The 24,436-nt window shown below is 35.4% G+C and overlaps 1 protein-coding gene across 8 annotated transcripts in view, besides 1 other annotated feature; it reads right to left on the bottom strand.

Moving 5' to 3' along the window:
- HDAC9 (histone deacetylase 9) overlaps window positions 1-24,436 on the bottom strand; it is a 915,592-nt gene that overhangs the window by 620,618 nt on the left and 270,538 nt on the right. The window lies entirely within an intron of this gene.
- Window positions 23,799-24,093: a silencer, noted in NCBI's record as "tiled region #1729; HepG2 Repressive non-DNase unmatched - State 13:Ctcf, and K562 Repressive non-DNase unmatched - State 13:Ctcf". NCBI's record gives its function as "represses a minimal TATA promoter and a strong SV40 promoter by Sharpr-MPRA in HepG2 and K562 cells {active_cell/tissue: HepG2 | K562}" and the evidence as "EXISTENCE:reporter gene assay evidence [ECO:0000049][PMID:27701403]".

Here is a 24,436-nt window from a genome sequence, read left to right as displayed (position 1 = left end):
TAAGAACTCTCTTGTCAGCATGTATTTTCCTAAAATATACTCTTCAACCTATTTGTCTACTCTGTTAAAGTTGTCTCTAATTAATATTTTATTATTTAAGTTATTTTTATTTTCTTCATATTATTTCAGCAGCATTATTTATCTAAATTTGAGTACTGAATGAATAGTCTATTCTCACTTTTTCTTACTTAATAAAAAATGGCCTAAAATTTGTCTATTAATTATAGTTTTGTCCTATGCCATACATTATGATATTTTATCCCATCATTGCCACTATTTTCTTGTCAGTGATTAGTTTTTATTTCCTTTTGATCCCAAAATTTAGAAAGTTGATTTTTCTTTTAAATCTCCCGTGATTTTCTTACGTAAAGCTTTGATATTAATTTATACTTTACTGCTTGGTGGTCAGATAATATAAACTATGCTCTTTCTAGTTAGAGAAATTTATTCAACCATGTTAATTATATCTTCCAAATTCTTCCCAAACTATGTGGTCAAAGACCCAGAATAAAATTGTGTTTCTAACACAATTAATCTTTTATCTTTATTTTATTTTATTTTTCTTTTTTTTCTTTTCCTTTTTTTTTTTTTTTTTTTTTTGAGACAGAGTCTTGCTCTGTCACCCAGGCTGGAGTGCAGTGGCATGATCTCAGCTCATTGCAACCGCTGCCTCCTGGGTTTAGGCAATTCTTGTGCCTTGGTCTCCCCAGTAGTGCAGGACTATAGGCATGCACCACCACACCGGACTAATTTTTGTAATTTTAGTAAACATGGGGTTTCTCCATGTTGGCCTGGCTGGTCTTGAATTCCTGGCCTCAAGCGATCTGTCTGCCTCGTCCTCCCAAAGTGCCAAAGTGCTGGGATTACAGGCATGAGCCACAGCACCTGGCCCTAATCTTTTGTTTTTCCCCAAAAGTTTTGCTTTATAAATATGAAGAGATAGCTTTCTTAAGCTCCAGAGTGCTGGAGGTAAAGATGTTTGGGGAGCCCCAGAACTTCTCTTTCCTCCTAGATGAGAAAGCAGCTTTGAAAATTATGCACTTGTTTAAAAACAAACAAAAAACCTCTAAGAGAAGCTTATTGATGTTTGGTGTGTTTGGTGACGGACACCAATGTGTAAATGGATTCCAATTTTGCAAGTATTTGGCCTCCCTTTCAGCTCAGTGAAGACCATCGCTAGACCATACCTGTGCCAGGAGAGTCAAGGGCAACAGCGTGAGGGCCAAAGGAGAAGCCATACAGTCAATTGCTGCATCCTTCCTCTCTATACAGATGACTCTCTTCTGTTTCACCAAATACCCTTGAAAAATTTTATGGCAAACTTATAACAAGTAATGCTTTGGTCTCTTTCTGCCAGTCTTAATAACCAAACTGCAATATACGATTTAATCAATACAATTTAATTTGACACTCTTTGCTTTGGTGTTTGGTACATAAACTACAACAACTGTGTTTTCACCATGGATGTTTCTTTAAATTATTTTAAAAAGTCCTTTTTTCTCATGTAATGCTTTTTTGTCTTATATTCTATAAGTTGTTATATAATTTTCCCTATTTACTATATATCAATTAAGATATACGTTAACCCATTATTTGATTTTAATCTTATTGTGTCACTTTGTTTCAGGCCTTCTGCAAACAATTTTTATAAAATCTAATTTGAGAGAGCCTCTGCCTTTTAAAGTAAAATTTGATACATTTGTATTCACTAGCATAATTAAATGTCTCATTTTACTTAGAGATCAGAGTCTTTAAGAACTCAATTGGTTTTAGAGAAAAACTAAAATGTGTTACTCCATTCATTCTACTCCAGGTGGGGAGCAACAGGAGCGATTCTGCCCTGACTTAGTGGAGGTTTTCTTGAGTAAGAGCCAGCTGCAAGACCCAAATCCAAGGGTGTTCCAGGAAGTTCTAACTGATCCTTTAGGAAATCTGCAGCATCTATGTGGAAATAAGATACCTTAGATCTGTTTAAGAATCACATGTGAGGGTCAAGAAATAGAGACCTTATAATTATTTGCCAATAATGTACCGCAAGCCTCAGAAAAACTACACAATGAAGTCAGACAACAATCCTCCCAGTAAAACAGAAGAACAAATACTGGGGGAAAAATTCAGTGCCCTTGTGACAGGTTCTGAAACTAAGACAGAAAAGGATTGCATACTTAAGGTTAATCTTAAAATTTAAGAACTGTTTGTGAAACTAGACTTTTAAATTGTTTGTGTGTGAGTTCAAAAAGACACAACTGGCACACTAACCAATTCCTTACCCTAACTCAGTTCAATTTCTTTCATAGGACAGGAGGCCATTTAGAGACAGAATAGTGCAATGCATTCAAGGATTCAAGAAAAAACTAGTATTGATTTCCCTGAAAAGATGCTCACAATACAAACAGATTTCTCATAGCAAGACAAAGCTGTTGTTTGTCTGGTATACATGGATTTCAGGCCTACTTGCTACATTAGCAAACTTAATTGTTTTCTCTACTGACAGAACTTCTAGCAACTAAACAGTGACCACTAATGTTGGATAATGTGGTTACGATTTTAATCTATACTTATCTAAGAATCAATATAACCTGATGACATACTAAAAATAATGTAGTTTGTATTCATTCTCTTAAGTGCATTTTCTATTATTCACAGAATCAGATTTTTGAGCGGTAGATTTTCAAAAGTATTTTAAAACAGAGAAGTTATTTATGAGTTATAAAGTTATAAATGTCAATAGCTGCATTTCAACTACAAACATAGAGCCTCATGTGTAGTAAGAATAATGATTTTTTTAGGTATAAATCTTCTAAAAAGCAAACTTTGGTTTTATTTTGGCAGGTATCTAAGTAAAACTGATGTGCCCATAAATCAGATAACCAATTACAACATTAGATAAAACTGAATTAAGGGAAGGCTTTCCATATTTAGTTCTACTAAAAACAATACAGATGTCATTTAAATAAAAACAAGCTCCCTTTGCTATATGCTCTATCGCTTCAATTGTGTAGACATATTGAAGTGAAGGCATTTTGTTTTGTTTTGTTTTGGTATGGGCTATGCATTTATAAAATGCGTATGTTTACTCCAAAACAGAGACTATGCATATACATAAACATATTTATATGCATATAAACATATGTGCATAAATATATATCTACAGTTAGGCATGTGTGCATATATTTATATGTATATGTATATATAATTTCACTTTGCTCTAGTAAACATCCACATAAAAATTAGATTACTAAAATTTGACTTTCTGTGGTTAGGCTCCTTTCTCTCCTAACTATTCTTAATGTGAATTTAATCCATTCTCAGATATTTTTATCTGGCATTATTATGAAAAAGCTATACTGTAATATGATTAGCAGTGTAGTAAAACAAAATAAATGTAGTTTCTAAGTATACACATAAAGTTTTTTATATAATTTATTAAAAATAAACTTTTTAATATAATACATACACGGATATAAACAAACACATACTAAATTAATTACTCTCTCAGAAATTTAACTGTGGTATTTGTTTGTACTAAAAGAAAGTTTCTAATAGTTTTGACATTTGTACAATTGAAACTCCTTTGACTTGTCACCTGCTGATTACTCGAATCTCTTATATTTTCCTAAGTCTGCACTCAATCATTCAGTCAGTGCTATCAGTATGGGGTCACTGGAAAATGGCACCTAATTTAGTTATGCCTCTTGTTTTTGCTGCCTCAAAACCCTTCGAGCACTTCATTTTGCTAACTAATTATTTAAAACACCATCTATTTCCAAGTTTCTAGGTTTACTCATTTTCTTGCATCTACTGGGGAATCTGAGACCTCCTTTAAGTCTTCTGGAATGAAAGTTAAGTATTTCTTAAGATGTAAAATTAAACCATTTTCTTGTTCCCTACTCTATCTACAGGACCAAATGTCTACTTTAAATCTGGAGAACAAAAGGAAAAATAATAAAAATAAAATTCTTATCTTTGTATGGATAACTGCAGATTTTTTTAATGCTTAAATGTAACGAGATCCTTAATGAATCATTATTACATTATTATCTTTGGAGAAGAAATCACAGGCAAGATAAATCAGAACAACTGCTCAATATGAATCCATAGTCCACCCAATTTACTGAAAGAATAAAGTACACCTGAACTCTGGAGGCTGCTATTTAAATTTCAAATCATATTAAACACATTTGCTACATTCACTTTGGTTAGAAGATTTTAAAACTTACATTGAAATTATTGTCTTTATTTTAGCTTCAACATATCAAGTGTCATGCGCATATATGGATAACGAGTTTATTTCTCATTCTTAAAAGGAAAAAAAGAAGAAATCTTCCTAAATCAGTAGTTAATATGGTTAATAAATACTACTGACTAGAAAAATATTGACAACATTTTGTACATAAAACTTATGCTCATTTTTAAAGGAAACCTCTAGAAAACCAAACACTATATACTGAATACGTTAAAATTCTAACCTCCAATGTGATGGTATTAGGAGGTGGGCCTTTGGTAGGTGATTGGGTCCTACCCAATCATCCATGGCTCTACCCTTATGTATGGGATTGGTGCCCTTATAAAAGAGACCCCTGAGAGTTCCATCACCCATCCACCATGTGAAAAGGTAACTGTCTATGAATCAGGAAGCAGGCTCCCACCAGAACTCAACCATGCTGGCACTCTGATCTTGGACTTCCAGCCTCCATAACTGTGAGAAATCAATTTCTGTTGCTATAAGAACAGAAACTGGTGCTATATCAGCACTGTCAACACTGTATCTCTAGCCAAGGACTACTTTACAGTCTCTTTAATTCATCAATAATCATATGCTTGTTCCCTTTAAAAAACCATTAATGTCTTCATCAGCTTAGGTTGCCATAATAAAATAACATAAACTGGATGGTATAGCACCTAAGTTACGCTGCTATAATAAAATACCATAAACTGGATGGTATAGCACCCAGCAGTCTATTACAGCAGCCTAAGCTGATGAAGACACTGATGGTTTTTTAAAGCAAACAGGCATATGATTATTGATGAATTAAAGTGACCATAAAGTAGAAGTTCTAGGCTAGAGATACAGTGTTAATCTATAGTTTCCAGGTTATTATTAACTGGACCTTAGCTTCAGCATCTCTGATAGCTCTTTCTCAATTTAAGCAAAAGGAAGGGAGGCTCATGTTAGTTTTATGGTTATTAACCAGAAGTCTGCATCAATATGGTGTAAGAATTATTTCATGACTGCCAGGCACCCGAAGCAACAGAAATATACAATAATTAATTCAGTAATTTAACATTAAAATGGAAATATGCATCAACTTAGAGTGCCAGAAGTCCTAATATACCAAAGCTGATAAATCAAAGCATTCTGCATATGAAGCATGAGGAAGTATGTACTCATTCTATGAAATCAAAATTATGGCATCAGGGCAAGTTTAGTCACATTTTAAAATAATATTTATGTCCTGGAAATAGAACTATTACAAATGTACACATTTCAAATCTTATTTAGAAGAGAAATTATCTCTACTTCTAGATTGAATTTATTTTGATAATTTTTTTAATTGAGCAGAGTACCCACTTCTCTTCTTTCATGGCCCAAGCAACATCAGTGTCATGCTCTAATCATTGCCTTTCACAGTGGCCTTCCGTGTATCTCTTACTCCCTCCAGGGCCTCATTTCTTATACCTCCTCCCCATTACCAAACTGCCCTCTGGCTCAGAAGGGTCACAAAGATCTCTTGGCTCCTTCTTTAAAACCACCCACCTAACTAAACGATAACACTCAAGGTCAATAATCATGTTTTAATGATCTTGCCTATTCTGCATATAAAAACTATTACAATGGAAATTGTACAATACATTCATTTTATAATTATTTCTTCACAAACATGATTTCATTTCATCTTTGAAAAAAATGACATCTGAATTAGCATTAGGGACAGATCCTAATGCATTTCCTCTAGATGAGGCATGGATACCAAGCTGTGAGGTGGCATACCCAGGACCTTGCAGCTGGTTAGGGCCAGCTAGGATTCAGTCCTGGATGAACTTCTGATTCTCAACCTCAGAGCCCTAGGGGCAGGGCCACCACTAACCCAGGCTAGTGTGAATGCAGCTCCACACTGGGGCTTTAGGCTTACTAAAAATGAGAGCACACTGGACTGCAGCACCCATTCACCCCTCAGCGAAGTGCCAGTGTGCAGGGTACCATCTGCACCACATATGTGGTGTCCTAGCTAAGGAGAAAAGGAAAGGACAACTTAGTAAGGGCCTACCATATACCAACCGCATTATATAAATTCTCTTTTGTTTTTTTTTTGTTGTTGTTGTTGTTTTGAGATGGAGTCTAGCTCCGTCGCCCAGGCTGGAGCGCAGTGGCGTGATCTCGGCTCACTGCAACCTCCACCTCCCGGGTTCAAGCAATTCTCCTGCCTCAGCCTCCTGAGTACTGGGATTACAAGCATGTGCCACCATGCCCAGCTAATTTTTGTATTTTTAGTAGAGATGGGGTTTCACCATGTTGGTCAGGCTGGTCTCAAACTCCTGAACTGAGGTAATCCGCCTGCCTCAGCCTCCCAAAGTGCTGGGATTCCAGGCGTGAGCCGCCTCACCCAGCCAAGTTATCTTATTTATTATCCCAAACAATTTTATGTAGTAACATGCATGAAGCTATCATCTCCTTCTGAAGGACCAGCCTGAGGCTGTTTACAATTAACTTTGTTTACATAACCACATTTTAAAATAATGATTAATAGTATAGTAAATACATAAACCAGTAACATAATTATTATCAAGTGATATGTGTTGTACATAACTATATGTGCTAGGCTTTTATGCAACTGGCAGATTAGGCTTGTTTACACCACCATCACCAAAAAACACGTGAGGAATGCTTTACACTATGACATTAGGACAGCTTAATAGCACCAGGCAATAGGAACTTTTCAGCTCCATTATAATCTTATGGGACCACTGTTGTACATACCATCTGTCATTGACCCAAACATTGTTATGCAGCACATGACTGTATATTATGCTGCCAACAGCAGAGGATCTAAATATATAGACTTTATATATTTTATATATATAAAGACTTTAAGAGGTCTGGAGACACCCAGCATAACAATGTTTCAGTCAATGACTGAACACATATACAGTGGTCCCATAAGATTTTTATGGAGCTGAAAAATTCCTATAACCTAGTGATGTTGTAGCCATTTTAATGTTGTAGCCAAATGCATTACCTTTTCTATGCCTAGATACAGAAATACTTACCATTGTTTTACAATTGCCTGAAGTATGCCATACAGTAACATGCTGTACAGGTTTGTAGCCTAGGAGCAACAGACTATACCATATAGCCTAGGTGTGTAGTAGGCTATACTCTCTAGGCTTGTGTTGTAAGTGCTCTCTAAGATGTTCACACAATGAGGAAATCACCTAACCATGTATTTATCAGAACCTATCCCAGTCAACAACGCATCTGTGTATTTGTGTGTATACATTCAAAACTATATATACACACACCTACACCTACACTACATATATATATAACTTCTAAACTGTACCTATATATGTGTGTGTGTATATATATATATATATATACACACATACATACACACTAGATTTATGCATGTACTACATATATCTAGTATATATGATACGGTTAAGCTATATTTTTATGATATATATGCATAGTATGATTTAGTGAATAAGCATTTTTTCAATGTAAAAGAAACACATCCGAGAGGGAACTAGTGACATTTTAACTCCATTTTGTGATTTCAATAATTTTTATATTCACCATATTGTAACATTTTTTACAGTATCAATAAATTAATATCTCCCCCATTATTTTTAGAAGTACTTAGATTAAATATCTAATTATAGAGTGCTTTTCTATTTCTAAAAATATCAAATGTCAACCACAAAAAAAACTGGAGTCACAAGTATAAGTCTACTGTTTCTCTTTAAAAGTTAGCATGACTTAAATGCCAGAAAAAATATATTATCATTTTTTTCCAAAACAAAATATCAAAGCAACCTAAAAAATGTCAATGATTAGAAAAGAAGGGTTACCTGAAGAGTTTAAGTTTTGTCATGTTTCCTTCAAAGCTTCTTTAGTTTCACCTGGATTTCAAGGGAAGTAGCATTGCAAATGTGGCATTTACACCTCAATTCCTGGCATGGAATCTCTAACCTATTATGAAATCCCATTAAAGTAGAAAAATGTTTTCAATATTCAAACAAAAAGAAAGTTCATCAGGATGTCTGAATTACTTGGACACAAAGCTCAACAAAATAGTTTTCACTGTCATTGCTAAGACCCTCCAAATATACATCTTTTTGTATTGTAATAATCCCATATGCAGTCACTATTATTATCCCCTGTTTTACAGATGAATAAATGAAGGATACTTAAGCTATCCTTTTTTTTAAGGTAACATATACCAGAGGTCCTCAATAAAAATGTTCTAAAACCATATGAACTTTACATAAACTATAACTTGAAATAAATGAAGAAACATACCCACCCACCTTTTCTTACTACACCACCTTTTCTTACTCGTTAGTGCTCAGCTAGAAATTACTACAAATACATAGCAGTATACTTACAGTAGACTTATACTTGTGACTCCAGTTCTTTTTGTGGTTGACAGTTGATATTTTTAAAAATATGAAAAGCACTCTATAATTAGATATTTAACCTAAGTACTTGTAAAAATAATGGGGGAGATATTAATTTATTGATACTAGTAAAAAGTTAGAATATAGTGAATAGTAAAAATAATTATTAAAATTACAAAATGAGGCTAAAAAACTCAAGTCTTTTGACTCCAAGTCTGAACAAGTATCAGACAAATGACTAAACATGCAATTTCCAGTTTATTAAAAGTAACCATTGTTATGAATAGAGAAATCTGTTATATGGTTAATACCTCTGTTTGCCTGTACCAAATGCCTTGTCCTTTTTACAATCTGTAACAGCCAGTCACTACCATGGCATCACTGACATCACCATAAATGCCATCAAACACAACCAAGTCTGCCAGAAGCTGTTCAGCTAGTCAAAAAGCTTTTTTCTGTCAACCCTGGTAGATCACAGACTAGACTAGGTCTGGGCCTAGCTTATAATCCTAGGGACACTGTCGTGATGTTCTCATGTTTAAAAATTTGCAGAAAATAATAACAGCTCTGCCCCTCTTACTCTTCTATCAACATATTTTAAACCATTCAAGAATGACACTAGGAGTGGGAAGAAGTGTCTATACTAAGCAAGCCAAAGCCTTTAAAGGGTCATAGTCTTCATTTAACATCTGACGTGGTCTTCACTTAAGGGAAAATACAGTCCTGGAAAACAGACTACCTTGTCTCACCAGCTCTCTGCTGTGGTTCAACCCTCTTCCTGCCATGCCTGTCCTGGTTTGGAGGTTTGAGAAGCTCTTGGTAGATCAGCAGGGCTTGGTTTGCAGGTTTGAGAAGCCCTTGGTAGACCAGCTAGCTCTAGATTCTCATGAGTGTCCATGTATTTCATTCTGCCTGGAAAGCTTCATATTCATACAGTTGCAATGATTCTGTTCAATCTGCCTAGCTCAGTGGCTTTGAACTTGGCTTGCACATTGGAATCACCTGGGAAACTTTCAGAACTACTCACACTTGAGCCTTGTCAAAGACCAAATCAGTTTGTTGAATGTGAGTTACCTTACTGGGTTAGCTGAGCTCATTCAGCTTCCATGAATGCTTCATTTGTAGTAAGAAAGTTATTGATTCAAAGATCATCCATGTCATTGCAGGTTACTATTCAATTTTAATCCAAAGGGTCCCTAAGTTAGCATAAGATCTGTCATTACCTCGAGAAGCCCAGGATATAGCAGTTAAGAGCACCAAAACTTCCATCTCCAGACTGAGGAAAGACATATGACCAATGTCAAAAGATCTCTGAAGTCTGTTTTTGCCCACTGCAAGGCAAGTTAACCTGGGGAATTGAACCATTATACATTTTCTTGCCCACAGCATCATATCAGTGGAAATTGATGTCCTTAATCATTTTAGACAACTATGAAGGAAAAAAACCTTGATCTCATAATTATTTTTTATTTCAAACATATTAAAAAGGTATGAGAAAAGAGAATGGATAGCTGTGACAGAATGCAGAAACTAATAATTCACCCATTGTTTCTGCTATTGTGTCTGTATAGTACTTTTCAATGTAATTAGTTCCTATTTTTGTTTGCTTTTGCTTTTGCTGTGGAATTCCTAATGTGTTCTAATACATGTATTATAATAGATATAATGGATACCAAAATAGACTATCTTATACTAGAATGTTAGAATCAGTGAGATAAAATATACACACAAAAAGATATTTCAGCCAAGGCATACATTTAGTTAATGCATTTAACCAGAATTTTAGTGGAAAAAAGTTGATTTTGAAAAATTCATTTATCTTCCTTCTTAACATTAATTTTAACAGTTAACAATAAAGGTGCTACATACTTTCTACAGGAAAAACAAAACAAAATAAAATCTCCTACACCCAAACATCCACATTAAAGTTGTTTTTGAAGGGGAAAAGTGTGCACCTACATATCGTTAAATTGAAATCCATACTTCGATTATTGCTGCGGAGCAACTGGCAAGGTTTGTTTAGCAAATTTCATGCCAAGATTCTGAAGTATGCAGCCTACCCCTTTCCACACATAATTCAATATAAACACTTTTCTTCTGACAGACATTCTGAAAGATCAAAGTGCAGAACAAAGGCAAAGAGTGACATGATGCGCGAGTTCTGGACTATTGAGATGAATGGATAGATTAGCCAGAAAATGCACGATGACACCTCAGACCTGCAGAAGTGGTTCTGTTTATGTGATGACAGTTTCAGTGCTTAGGAGACCCAAACCTCTAAACAGCCATTTTCCTCTACGCCCCTACGGAAACTCTGCAATATTTCAACAAGTCCATCCATCAATGCCAATCAGTGCAATTCACCTGACATCTCATTATAGGTTTTAAGCAACTGGCTGTCATCTAGAAGAGAACAAATAGTTCATTACACAAACCATTATGGACCAAATAGAACCCTTATGCAAAATGCATCAAACAGAATCCAGTATATTGCTAGCAAGGGCTAGATAAAAGTCAAATAAAATAAACTGGCTATTGTGGAATATGCTCCTTACAGAGCACAATGATCCAATTGCCTCACACTTATGATTTACAGACTAATATTATAAAAAGCAGTGTTCAGCTTGCTAAACAAAGAAATATGGTTTTATGCATATATACTTGAGGTAGAGAATTAAATTAAGAGTGAAGTTTTAACTACATGGACTTCTCTGATCTAGAAGTAGAAAAAAAGGAGAATGTTTGGGTTCACTAGCTAGAGTTCAATATTTTCAGCAATTTCCAGCCACCCTCTAAATTAATGTTTTCAGCAATGTCGTATACCATCATGTTGATTTTAGAATATGGCAAAACATCAAAATCCTGGCCAATGTTACTCCTTTCACTGCTAGCTTGGAAGGATATGCAATTAATTCTGTTACAGATTTATGGGATTCTAACTAGAACCACACTGACTGGATTGCTAGTGAGTACAGGGAGAAGGTAACCCAGTTGGGGCTGGAATAACCTATAGAATACATGCACAATGGTTTGCACGAATAAATTTACTTTCTTAATAGCCTGCGCTCCATTCATTTAAAATTCATACTTCTTTCCCTTTCTGTATCATTACCTCTACTGACAAGTTCTGTTTGTAGTTACAAAAAAAGAACTGGAAAAGTAAGTCTTAAACATCTTTTTAAAAAAACTCTTCTTGAATATGCTTTCAACCTACAAAAAAAAATTATTGCATTGGCAGGTGATGAGAAAGTTGACCTTACAATTTTTTCCTACACTGGAATAATTTAAAGATTCTCTATAAACTTTATTTCCCCTCAGAGCAGCAGTTACACGGATGCAAACAATCCCATTTGGAGATGATGGCAGGGACAGACACAGTGAGCGCACACCTCCTCAATCATCCCTCTGAGTCTCTCCTTGATGGACCTTGAAACACTTTTCATGACTTGCTGAACCTTGAAACACTGTTTCTGACATATAGAAAAACAATAGTAGATATCTTGACCTAATCGGCCTCCTGTACTGCAAAGTCCACAGCATTTAGGGAAAATGTATTTCATTTATAGTTAGAAATTCCACTAAAGGAGTCATTAAATAAAGCCCAGATATCAAGCTCAAGATAAAATATTCCCAGGATTTCCAGGTAAGGACATTAATTTACAAATATTTAAAAGAGAAGAAAAAAGGGAGGAGAAAGAAAAAAAGGAAAAAGAAAAGGTAAAGAAACAGAGGAGAAAAAACAGAGAATAGATCTGCAATATAACTCTCTTGGTTCACTTTCAGAGAACATGGTAAGCATGTTATTACAATATTTTAAATACCACTATAGAAAATAATGATACAGTTAATTTCTTTTTTCTTGAATTTGAGGTCACTAAAAGAATTTTTTAAGTGTAAAACAATTATTTCCATACGAATTCCACTATTCTGCTGTTACATTGAGACAAAACAGACTCAAATAATTCATTTACAACAATCCAGAATTGCATTTCTAATTCAAAAAAATAGACATAGAAGGATCTACTAAATTATTTTAAATAGAGATATGTGGAAATACTTTTCACTTTAAACATATAAAAGATCCTGAAGTAGAGCAAAAGGAAAAAAGATATAAGAAAACCCTAAATGCCCCATACATAAATAATGTGAAAGCACTTGGCCAGGTGGTATATTTTTCACAGGCTGAAAAATGGGTTTAGTAGATTTTAAACTAATAGCAGATGGAATACAAGTTTAATTTACAATCACTATCTAGATATTTATAAGGATTTTTATCAGCAATATATTCAAGCATCAGGCTGTGGCCTACATAGTGAGTTCATCAGTTACAACCCCTGTTCCTTCTCAGGGGCACCACAGAGAGGCATTTCTCTCTTTGACTTGGCTACTACTTAGGTAGGAATTTCTGTATTCCATTTTGCCTCACTGAGCATGTGTCTGAAACCTGGACATGTTGTTCCTTCTTTTCCAATATTACTCAAGTGGATCATCATAAAGCTTAGATAATGGAAAGGGTTAATCCTTATAATCAGCATAAAGGGGCAGATGGGAAAAGGTATAAAATAAACTGACAGCCATTTTTTCATAAAATTAATATAAACCTTGGGGGTTTTTTTTCCCAGAAAATAAAGCACGGTTTAGCAAAACAATATGTTTTGCTCTATAAACATAGTGTACATGAGAAGCAAAGGTCTCAGCAATGGAACCAAACAGAGTTCAGAAACAGAAACAGCATGTTTGATATATAAGAAATTTGATATATGGCAATAGTGGCACTGCCGATCACCGGTTAGTCAGGGATACTTGGCTAACCATATGGAAAACAAAAATGAAACTGGATCTGCACCTCATACCAAACACAAAAAAATCCCAGATGGATTAAAAGGTAAAGTGATAGATCACTTTCATCTTAGAATAAAATATGGGAGGATATCTTTATGACCTTTCATAGGAAATTTCAAACAAGACATTAAAAAGTATTAACTGTTTAGTTAAAAAAAAAGTTTGAATCCATCAAAAAGAAAGCTTCCATTTATCAATGACACTAAAAGGAAGTGAAAGGATGATATGCAATCTGGGAAAAGATATTGGTAATAAAATTGACACGGGATTAGTATCAAATTATTACAATGACTTCCATAAGTCAACAAAAGATAGAAACAATTCAAAAGAAAGTAGACAAAGCAAGCATTTCCCATAAGTCGAAACACTATGTTGAATAAGTATCAAATCAATAAGTTTCAAAAGATACTCAACCTCATGCTAATCAGGAAAGTGCAAATGATCACACGAACATTCTCCAAACGACAAAAATGAAAAAATCTAAACATACAAGTGTTGGGAAACATGGGAAACACTAGCAGCCTTCATAGGCTGCTGATGGGCATATACATTGGTTTCAAACATCTTCCAAAATAACTTGGAATTATCTTACACAGTTGAACATGTACCCACCCTATGACTTAGCTCAGCAATTCCACTTCCAATATACCTTATACCCATACATGTACCAGAAAACATGCACAAGCATGTTCAGAAAATGATTGCCATAATAGCAAAGCCTAAAACAATGTAAATGCCTATCAAGAGGAAATGAGATAAGCAAATGTCATTTATTCAAGGAAGAAATATTAAAGTGCAGTTAAAAATGAAGAAATGCAAACACCATTGTAATTTCTAACATTATAGTTTATATATACAAAAGGAACAAAGCAAAAGGTGTGCATACCTATTCTGTTTGGTTTCTACAGAGTCTTTACCAATTTTTATCACGTTCAAATTTCAATATCAGATGTGTTATATAAAAATCTGATACCCTTCTTCTCCTGAAAAATAGGAAGAACAGGGGACCCCAGGCCCACATGCTTGCAAGGACTAGTCCCATGGCTCCCATCCAGCTTGATTTGTACATTTATCATATCAACTGGCCTTCTCTATGCATCTGAGTTTGCAACCCCTTAGAATGCACTGGAATTAACAATGGCTTTCTTGGAATGATGGAATTAAATATGATTGTATTTCTTCTATTTACTTATCTGTGCCTTTTCATTATTCTGATATGAACATCTATTACTTGTGAAAAAGAAACAAAAGCATTATTTTGATGTATATTCTGAAAGAAAATGAAAAAATCTCATACAGATGGGAAGAGAATGAGAAACTAGTTATATAGAAAGGTAGTGAATGCTACATATTAAGAATTGCATGTTAATAAAACTAGCCAAATGTAGGAGATTTTAATAGGCATACTTCATCCAAAGCATTTTCTATAGATTTTTTTCTTACTAAACTGATTAAGTACACAATATATAGAAGATGTGACAATCTAACTAAACGCATCACTTTACATAAAAATAGGAGAGTCAATACATTTGAATTTCAAGCTGAGAATGAAATATGAGCCAGGTGAATAGCTATGAGGATTTCTTTTAGAAACCAAGTTATAACTCTGCAACTACAAAGATGGAGAACTGCCTTGTAGCAAAGACCTAACAGCACTGCCAAAAAAATGTCATCTGTCAGTGTCATATATTCTCAAATTTTTTGAAGGATAAAGAAAAAATGTGGTTATGGAATTAATGCATCCCACTCCTTGGCTCTCAGCTGTGCTCTTTTATAGTGTATCCATATAAAAGTTCATCAGCCAAGAAGGTTCCTGGCCAAATGTGACTGAAGGACCAGAACCCATGGAAGAGTAGGCACAAGTCTTGATTGGCATTATTGCCAGTTACTTTGGGGCAGACAAATTCTACCGGTGCAAATTCTAGGTCTGGTGTCCTGGGCCAACTGCCATGATCCAGAAACTTTTATTCCCAAAGTTCTATGCTATGTCAGCCCATTATTTTCTTCTAAAGCACACAGAATACTGCCAAGTAATAACTGACCCTGTTTGTGACAGAACCTCCACTTCCATGAGTCACTTTGTAATAGATTTGTCAGTTTCTGAACAAGCCTTGCTTACAGCAGTTCTGCAGTTATCATCACCCATGATCAGTTTCCCTCCACCTTATCTCTATATAATACATAAAGCAACGGAAATTAAGGAGATTAGGAATAAGCATTAAATTATAGCAGTGGGGAATTTTTTCAAATAAAATTTTGAAATAAATATTTTTCAAATAGCCTGCCATTTGATTTTTCAACCATAATCTATGATTCCTGGTTGCTTTGCGTGGTGACAGAAAACAATTTTTAATAGAGAAGAAATTGACAGAAAAAAAAAAACAACTGAAAACAACACTAAAGGATAAAAGTAACCAGCAGAAGAATTCATCAGGCATGATGTTACATTCATTTAATCTTCTCTTCAACTCTATTTGGAAATTACTATTAGTTATTATTACTACTAATATTAAACTCAGAAAACTGAGTTTTTCATTCTAGAAAATGCTTAACTATAATTTGCCCAAAGGCATAGCTAAAAAGTAGTAGATGTGATGTTCAAATTCCATAGTCTGTTCTATACAAGAGCCCACACTTTTTAAAACATAAAATTGTTCAAATGTAGGCTTTATTTGCTTTTTTATTAAAAAAAAAAGTCATAAAGACTATAAAAGTCAAGCCTTTCAAAAATAAGCTTATTACTGCTCGTTAGTCCCTTGTCTGTATTTTCTATTCCTAGGCTAAGGATTATTGGAGAAAGAAGACAAAATACTGCAAAAATGATTCATCACACTTTCATGTTATAGTTCTTTATTTCTACTCAATAATTTCATACAAGGCCAGGAGATCCTTTATACCAGGGATGGTGAATGTGCAGAGCATACACTACTATGTCTCCCTAATTATAATGCCAGGAACTGCTCATGACATACATAGCTCTTATCTGTTAATATTATGTTGGCCTCAGAAGCCTTCTCAACACAATATTCCATGCAGCTCCGACCTATCAGAGTTCACACTAGATCTAAAATTTATTTACAACTCTAGTTCTATCTCACTCACCAAAGTGGTTCTAACCCTATCAAAACATCAGCTACCAATAACATTCCTGCCCTACTTACTCCCAGCAAACAGCCCTGAAGACACCTAATTACATATCTTCTCTCTTATTGACCTCACTCTTTCCATCTTTGCACTAGTCTATGAAGGTGTTTTTCTGAAACTTACCAGCTGTCAATGTTTTTCAAACACTCTTTGCCCCATCTCTTAGCTATCCATGTCTTCATGTATTCATTACTTTTCAATCTTTTACCCTGTGTGACACTTCAGCTCCACCTGCACACAGACTCAACTTTTTCTTGTTCATAAAAATAAATTTCCCTTCGATTCTGCTACATTTTAAAGGTATTATCTAACGTTTTTTCACCCTGATTAATTTTTGAGCTTCCTGAAAGAATTATCAATACCTGATTTCTCTCTTTTATTTGCCACCTATTCATTCCTCCCTGTTTTCTCCACTAAAGGTCTAGCAGGAAAATTCGAAGGTTTGTTTAGTCTTAATCTCATCTGTCAACTCTGCTGCATGTTAGGTTGTAGACCAGGCCTTCTCAAGCTTTAAAATGAATCTCCTGGGGATTTTGTTAAAATGCAGATTTAGATTCCTGGGGCTTTGGGGGCCTGAGATTCTGAATTTCTGGAAAGCTTCCAGGGTGCCCATGCTGCTGGTCCAGGAGCCATTCTGAGTAGCAAAGGTATAGAAAATTCTCTATTTTCGAATGACTGTCTCTTCTTCTTTACTTTCAAAACACACCCCATGCTAATTCTCACCATTTTCTGACTGCTCTTTTTCTTCCTCCTGATTGCTTATTTTTTCCTTCCTTGTGCCTAAATGTTTATTTCTAATGTTAATACAAGTAATAGTACTATTTTGAGCATTTATCATATGCCGGTGCCGCAGACCTTATATTATCTTAATCCTCACAGGAATCCATGAGAAATTTTTCGCTTTAAAGATGGTTAAATGGAGGTACCATTACTAACACTGCACAGCCAGATTAGAACAGGGATTCAGCCCCAGGCAGTTTAACTCAAAAGCCTGGGATCTTCAGCAATCCTGCCTCACACAGATGTTCAAGAAGCCATGAGCAAGTCAGTGACGCCAACTTTGCATCCTGAAAATAAGTGGACAAAAGAAGTGATAAAGAAGGAGAAAAGGCTGCTGAAAAGAGGATTATGAACTATTGTGGGAAATTTTATAGATAGACATTGTAAAAGAGTGAATGGCTTGCTATTGAAAAATAATCTGATAAAGCCCAACCATTCAGAATGAAATTCTGGGACCTGAAAATCTTTAGGAAAAGTTAGACCCTGAAAAATATTAATGTTAAGGCATTTCACTAAGAAAAGCAAATGAATTCTGGGGCAGTCAGTATCCTTTCAATGCAAGTCATTGGACCAAATAATACAATGAGATGCCCTTTGTATAAAAAAATTGAGATTGAAGATCAACCATGAACAAAAAGAGGAGGCACCTGGTAATGTCCCCGTTTGTCTCTATTTATGTCTTCCTCACTGTTCAGCCCATTGGCTTTCTCTAATTAATCCTTATAACACTGCACTTCTGAGGGGCAAATTAGAAACAGAAAACATCTCCATTTTGTAAATAGGAAGCAGATGGAGAAACTTAGTGGTTCTTAGTGAATCAATAACAGCACTTCAAAATCAAGTCTAACTTAGATGCCACTGATTTATTTACATAGCACAGTACCAAATGCAAATAATAATAACAACATTTTCTTTCTTTCTTAAGAAAATGAACCATCAGAAGTCTCCAAAATTTATTTTTTTCTTTGCGAATCTAGGCCAAATTCTACAAAAATGGGCAAATGTGTGCCAGTTCTTTCTCTAGGATGAGTATGTTTCTTCTAAAACCCACAATTACTGGATAGAATCCCTGTCCATTAATCCTCACAATCAGCTTTAGAAGTATCTAAGATCAGACACCAGGAAGTTACAAAAGATATATATACCTCATCTGACATTAAGAAAAAGTAAGGAGGGAAATTATATGGAAAATCTACCGTGGTGAAAATAAAAGCCATGGATTAAAGGCTTTAGGAAAACCCACCTTATTAAATCCTAGCCTTCCTTAAAAAAGATAAACCGAATTAATTATAACTAATGGTTGTAATTACTTTCAAAATATGCTTTTCTTGACATAAACATTCTTTAATCAATCCAAAATACAAAAATGCTTATTAGTGAGTTTACTATTTTAATAAGCTGTATCAACACATGTCTGAAACTGGTATCTCCAGGTATTTGAATCAATCTGGGTGGGATAAGTCTCTTTTGTTCTACCATAAATTCAGCACTTTCAGTCAGGCATAGATTTTTACTAGAGGAAATATACAAACTAGATATAACAGTGCATATTTCTGACCTTTAAAGACGTAAACCAGAACTCTTTACTATTCAAGATTCTCTACCTTCAAATATGAGACTCATGAATACTTATTGCTAAGATATAAATGTAGCATGAAAGCCAGTATATGAAATTTAAAGTCACCAGCAAGTTAAGTTGATATCAGATTATCTTTCAATAGCAATCCATTCACTCTTTTACAATGTCTGTCTATAAAATTTCCTACAACATGAATAAGGGTTAAAAAAAATTTCATCAATCCAGGGTCAATTTTTGCTTATTTTTTAAAGAGAAATCACTGCTAGTACACTTAACATTTACACTCATAATTCCAAGCTATTTAGAACTGTATACCATATACCTATTTATTTTTTATAATGCCTTTAAGAATCATAAATCTCCAAATTCCCCAATATTTAGAATCTATATCATGATTTTAATGACTGGATCATCTAAGTTACCAAGAAACTTGTTTTTAAGTTACCATGATTGTTAAAAACCAAAGTTCTTCTACAAAGATAATAGAAAAATATAACTTTCCTCTAACACAAATATATAGAGAAATTAGGTTTGCAACACATAAGCATCACAGATTTCTATTCTGTGACAATAGAATCCTACGATCTCTGCAATTCTGTTAGTGAAATTTGGAAATGAGGACTGGAATAAATGCGGAAAGTCTACATGGTCAAGTATGAAAGGTTAGATCATTTGCAGCCTAACAGCTCATTCTGTTCTCCCAGAAACAATTCATAATCAGTGAGGAGAGCTACGACACCTAGGAGAATTGGAGAATGTGCTGGTGCTCCATTTGCTCCCCCTCTGGTGACTCCTTAGGAGCAGGGAAAGCAGTAAGTTAGCCTAAGAAGGTGGCCCATGCTGAGTCAGCACTTGTCCTTGAACCAAGAAATTCCAGAAGGGCGGGGAGCTGGCAAGGAGAGAAGGGAAGAAATAAGGAACACTTGGAGGAAAATAGCATATCATGTACTGACGGTGAGTCTCCTGAGTGTATCAGTAATTAGTTGGCTTTATGCCAGAATGTTTTTTTTTTTCTCTCTCTCCTTGCAATAAACGAAATAATACATTAAAGTGTTTTGTGGACTATGGACAATTTGGAAAATTACACATTTGCAACAGCATTGCTCTATGAATTAAAGTTAAGGTCTTTTCCTTAAACAGAAGTAGAATTAACCATATATTCAACAGAAATCTAACCCTCAGTAAAATTTTATGCCTATTGAGTCAGTTAAAATGTTTCTAAAGAAAGAGAAATGAATGTTTCCTTTGGTTTCCCTGGTGTAATATAAGTGAATATAATTATTTACCAAATATACAGAATAAGAATGTTTAAATTGAAATAATTAAATTTCAATTTAAAGGTTTTCAGGTCTTCTTGAGGTGCAGTGGTAAAGAAGGGGTAGGGAAGGCAGTGAATACTACCCAAATAAATCGACATGCAATAGATTAGATGTTTGAAATGAACTGAAAGCAGTGGTCTAGGTAACTTCAGGAGAGAGGTGTGGGTGGATAAGAGGCTTTCATCACCATTTACTTTCACTTACTTATGTATTGTTTGAGATTTTTAATGAGTACCTGTAATTTTTGGAATTTAATATTTTAGGAGAAGAAAACCCAGTTTTTCTCCTTGCTAGGTTTGATCAGACAAAGGAATACATCTCTCCAACTTTCAATATCTTAGTATAGTCTATAAAATACATTATTGTTCATAGTTGGATGGTATGTAGACAAAGAACCACCTGGGAGGAAAAAAAAAATTTGCTAGCTAAAGCACTTTCTTATAATTCTCAGAAGAGGAGAAACACCATTCCATTCTGAAACTAGGCTCTTTTGGAAGAAGCTTAATGAACTGAAAATTTGCCCCTTAACTGTGGCATGTTACAAAACTGATCCCAGACAAGGGTAATTATTCTGCCATTTCTTTAAATAATTTTCAGGTATATAACTTACTGCTAATTAATTTACCCATTGATCATTATTTGTCTAGTATGAAAATCAATCATTCAACTATTATGTATAAACAAATGCTCTAGACACTGAAAGTAAGTAAGTATAAAAAAATGTCAACTCTTGGAAAGTAAACATTTTTACTGGTATAACAAGACAAATAAAAAAAATTGTCAGCAATGTACTACATAATAATTTTGAAATGAGTGGTGCCAAGAGTGCTGTAGTAACTAAATGAAAGGAATATATTACTCTTTGAGGAAAGAATATGGAAATCTTCAAAAAGGAGATGAGATTGAAGTGGACCTTGAAAGATGAAAAGAATTTATTAAAGTAACAGTGAGAGGAAAAGCACTTGAAACGGTAATTCTTAAATTCTCCTTTTTTTCCACAGCAAATGGAGAGGCCTCTGGAAATTTATGGCTAAAGAGATGTTCAGAAAGTGTAGGGGAAAAGATTAAAATGAGGATAACAAGTCATAAGGTTGATGCATGTTTCTAGAAAAAGGAAAATAAAATAAGGAGAAGATACTGAAAAATATTACCAAAGGACATTGGGTCTAAATGACTGAAGGAGTACGACAGTACAGAGGAAAAACTTGAACATTTCACTTATGTAAACTAGAAAAATGATGGCACAAAGGAAGTCCATCCACTTGGTGGCAGATATGAGTTTTGCCATAAATGTTTAAAAGTAATTGAAAATGTAGGAATATACATAGGATAAGAGGTTAGGACTGGAGATTAATCTCTTAATTACAATTATAGTTGAGTCCAAGAAACCATAAAAACTTTCTGAAAACAATCTAGAACAAGAAGAGCAGAAGAGCAAGAAGTGAGGGGTTTAGAGAGGAGAATCGGAGGGTGGAAGGTGAGGTAACCGTGTCCTGTGGCAATGCTAAGGCAGAGCAGAAGGTGGTGTCAGCAGGAGCCCTAACTGCAGAGGAAAATGAGGGTTAAGAAAATGCCCTTCAGTGTGGTTAGAAAATCACCGAAGTGGCCAGGCACGGTGGCTCACACCTGTATTCTCAGCACTTTGGGAGGCCGAGGTGGGCGGATCACCTGAGGTCAGGAGTTCAAGACTACCCTGCCCAACATGGTGAAACCCTGTCTCTACTAAAAATACAAAAGTTAGCTGGGCACGGTGGTGCGTGCCTGTGGTCCCAGCTACTCGGGAGGCTGAGGCAGGAGAATTGCTTGAACTCATGAGGCAGAGGTTACAGTGAGCTGAGAGTGTGCCACTGCACTCCAGCCTGGGTGACAGAATGAGATTCCATCTCAACAAAAAAAATCACCAAAGCAACCTTGCTGGGTCCCTGGAGACACAAAGCAGGTGCTGGGGACTACAGTTACATGCAAGTTCATTGTACTATTTGCTCTACTTTTATGCAATTTTGAATTTTTCATTCTCAAGTTTTAGAAAATGTGAATGAGAGTTGAGGAAAAGCAGGTTAGTGGAAGAAAAGAAGTAAGAAGATAGTTTGGGACAACAGCAAATATCCTTCCCTCCTTGTCCCTTCACTGCCACAATTTACTATTTAATTTATTTTATTTTATTTTAGACAGAGTCTCACTCCGTTGCCCGGGCTGGAGTGCAATGGTGCGATATTGGCTCACTGCAACCTCTGCCTCCCAGGTTCAAGTGATTCTCCTGCCTCAGCCTCCCAAGTTGCTGGGTGTGCACCACCACGCCCGGCTACCTTTTGTATTTCTAGTAGAGATGGGGTTTTGCCATGTTGTCTGGGCCGATATTGAACTCCTGACATCATGTAATCTGCCTGTCTCAGCCTCCCAAAGTGCTGGGATTACAGGCGTGAGCCACTGTGCCCGGCCTCACTGCCCCAATTTAAGAAAGAAGTACTGGGCAGTGATGAACAGTGCAGGTTTTAGCATAAGGCCTTCTGGGTTGAAATATTAGTCCTACGATTTATTAGCTGTTGTCCTTGGGCAAATCATGGCAAATCACCTAATCTGGTATTAATTGAATACTACTGACTATGTGACAGGTACTTTGCATAAATTTTTTCACATAATCCTCACCACATTCTTCTAACGTGGTTATTATACCTCAATTTTCCAGTTCAGAAATATCAGTGAGGGGACAGGTGTCTAAAGTTATAGCTAGAGTAAGTGGTAAAGCCAGGAATCAAATGTGTATCTGTAAATTCTACTAATGTCTAGTTTTGTGTTCTTAAGTACTAAGTGATATAGAGAAGGAATAACCTATGGCACCATGCATTCGATTAAAAGATAAGTTCCTAACAATGATATCAAAGGATATGTAGGTATACTTATCAAGTTCTTCATGTTCTCATCTGCTCCCATATTTCAATTTTTTCCAAATTCCAACCCTCAGAGAGAAAACACTCATTCGAAGTTGCTTAAATTGCCTCAGCTTTTAAAATCAATGCCAGTTTGCATAAAATAAAAATCACAAGATATTCATGTTTCCAAAATCACTTTTAAATATCCCACTAATCATTAACTACTGTCTCAACATAGCCACACCTAATAAGCTAAAAGCTATTTATAACTTTATAGGAAAAAAAACTGTTTCTTCTACCTCCTACATAAGTGTTTGTGCTCCCAACATCAGTGGACTCAACACATTACTTCCCATTCCTAAATTGCAGGTGAAACTCAGTTGCAAGAGCATTTTTGTCTAGATCACAACCACCTTCTAAACTTCTTTGTTGTTGTTTTGTTTTGCTTTGTTTTTGAGATGGAGTATCTCTCTGTTGCCCAGGCTGGAATGCATGGCACCATCTCAGCTCACTGCAACCTCTGCCTCCGGGGTTCAAGTGATGCTCCTGCGTCAGCCTCCCGAGTAGCTGGGATTACAGGTGCCCACCACCACACCCAGCTACACCTTCTAAACTTCTGCCACATTCATATGAGCCCCTCTCCAATCCAATCTCCATAGAGAAACCAGAATAATCCTATCAAAAGCAAAATCAGATAATGTTGCTGTTTTTCTTTTGCCCTCTGGAGGCATCACTCAACCTAGAAACAAATCCAAGCTCCTCACAAAGATCTTTCAGTCCTGGCCAGTTACCTCCCCAAGCCACATCCTAGCTTACTTCTTGATTCACAGTGAAACACTGAGACACTAGTTCAGTTTCTGCAACAAGCCATGCTCCTTCCTGACTCAGGGCCTTCTCATACTCTGTTCCTCTGCCTGGATAACCCTTTGCCCAATCCTTTATGTGGTAGGGCCACCTAAGTTCACCTCCTCAGAAATTCTTTCCTAACTCTCTAGCCTAAAGTTGGCCCCAAAGGTTATATATACTTACTGACCTTTTTTTTCTTAGAATTGATTTCAATCTGTAATTATGTATTGTTATTTTTTGTTTATATACTGTTTTGTCTGTCTCCTATACTGGCTATAATTCCACAAGGGCAGAAATTGTGTTTGTGTTCTCTCCCTTCTCCTTTATTTCTTTCTCTCAATAAACAACCAAACAAGGCCTAGCACACAATTAGCAAGCAATCAAAGTTTACTGAGGAAAAAAAAGGAGAACAGAGACGACAGAAGGAAAGAAAA

The sequence above is a fragment of the Homo sapiens genome, chromosome 7 (assembly GCF_000001405.40).
Source record: "Homo sapiens chromosome 7, GRCh38.p14 Primary Assembly".
NCBI lineage: Eukaryota > Metazoa > Chordata > Mammalia > Primates > Hominidae > Homo > Homo sapiens.
The sequence above is the reverse complement of the archived record's forward strand: the minus strand, read 5'-3'. Positions and strand labels throughout refer to the sequence as shown.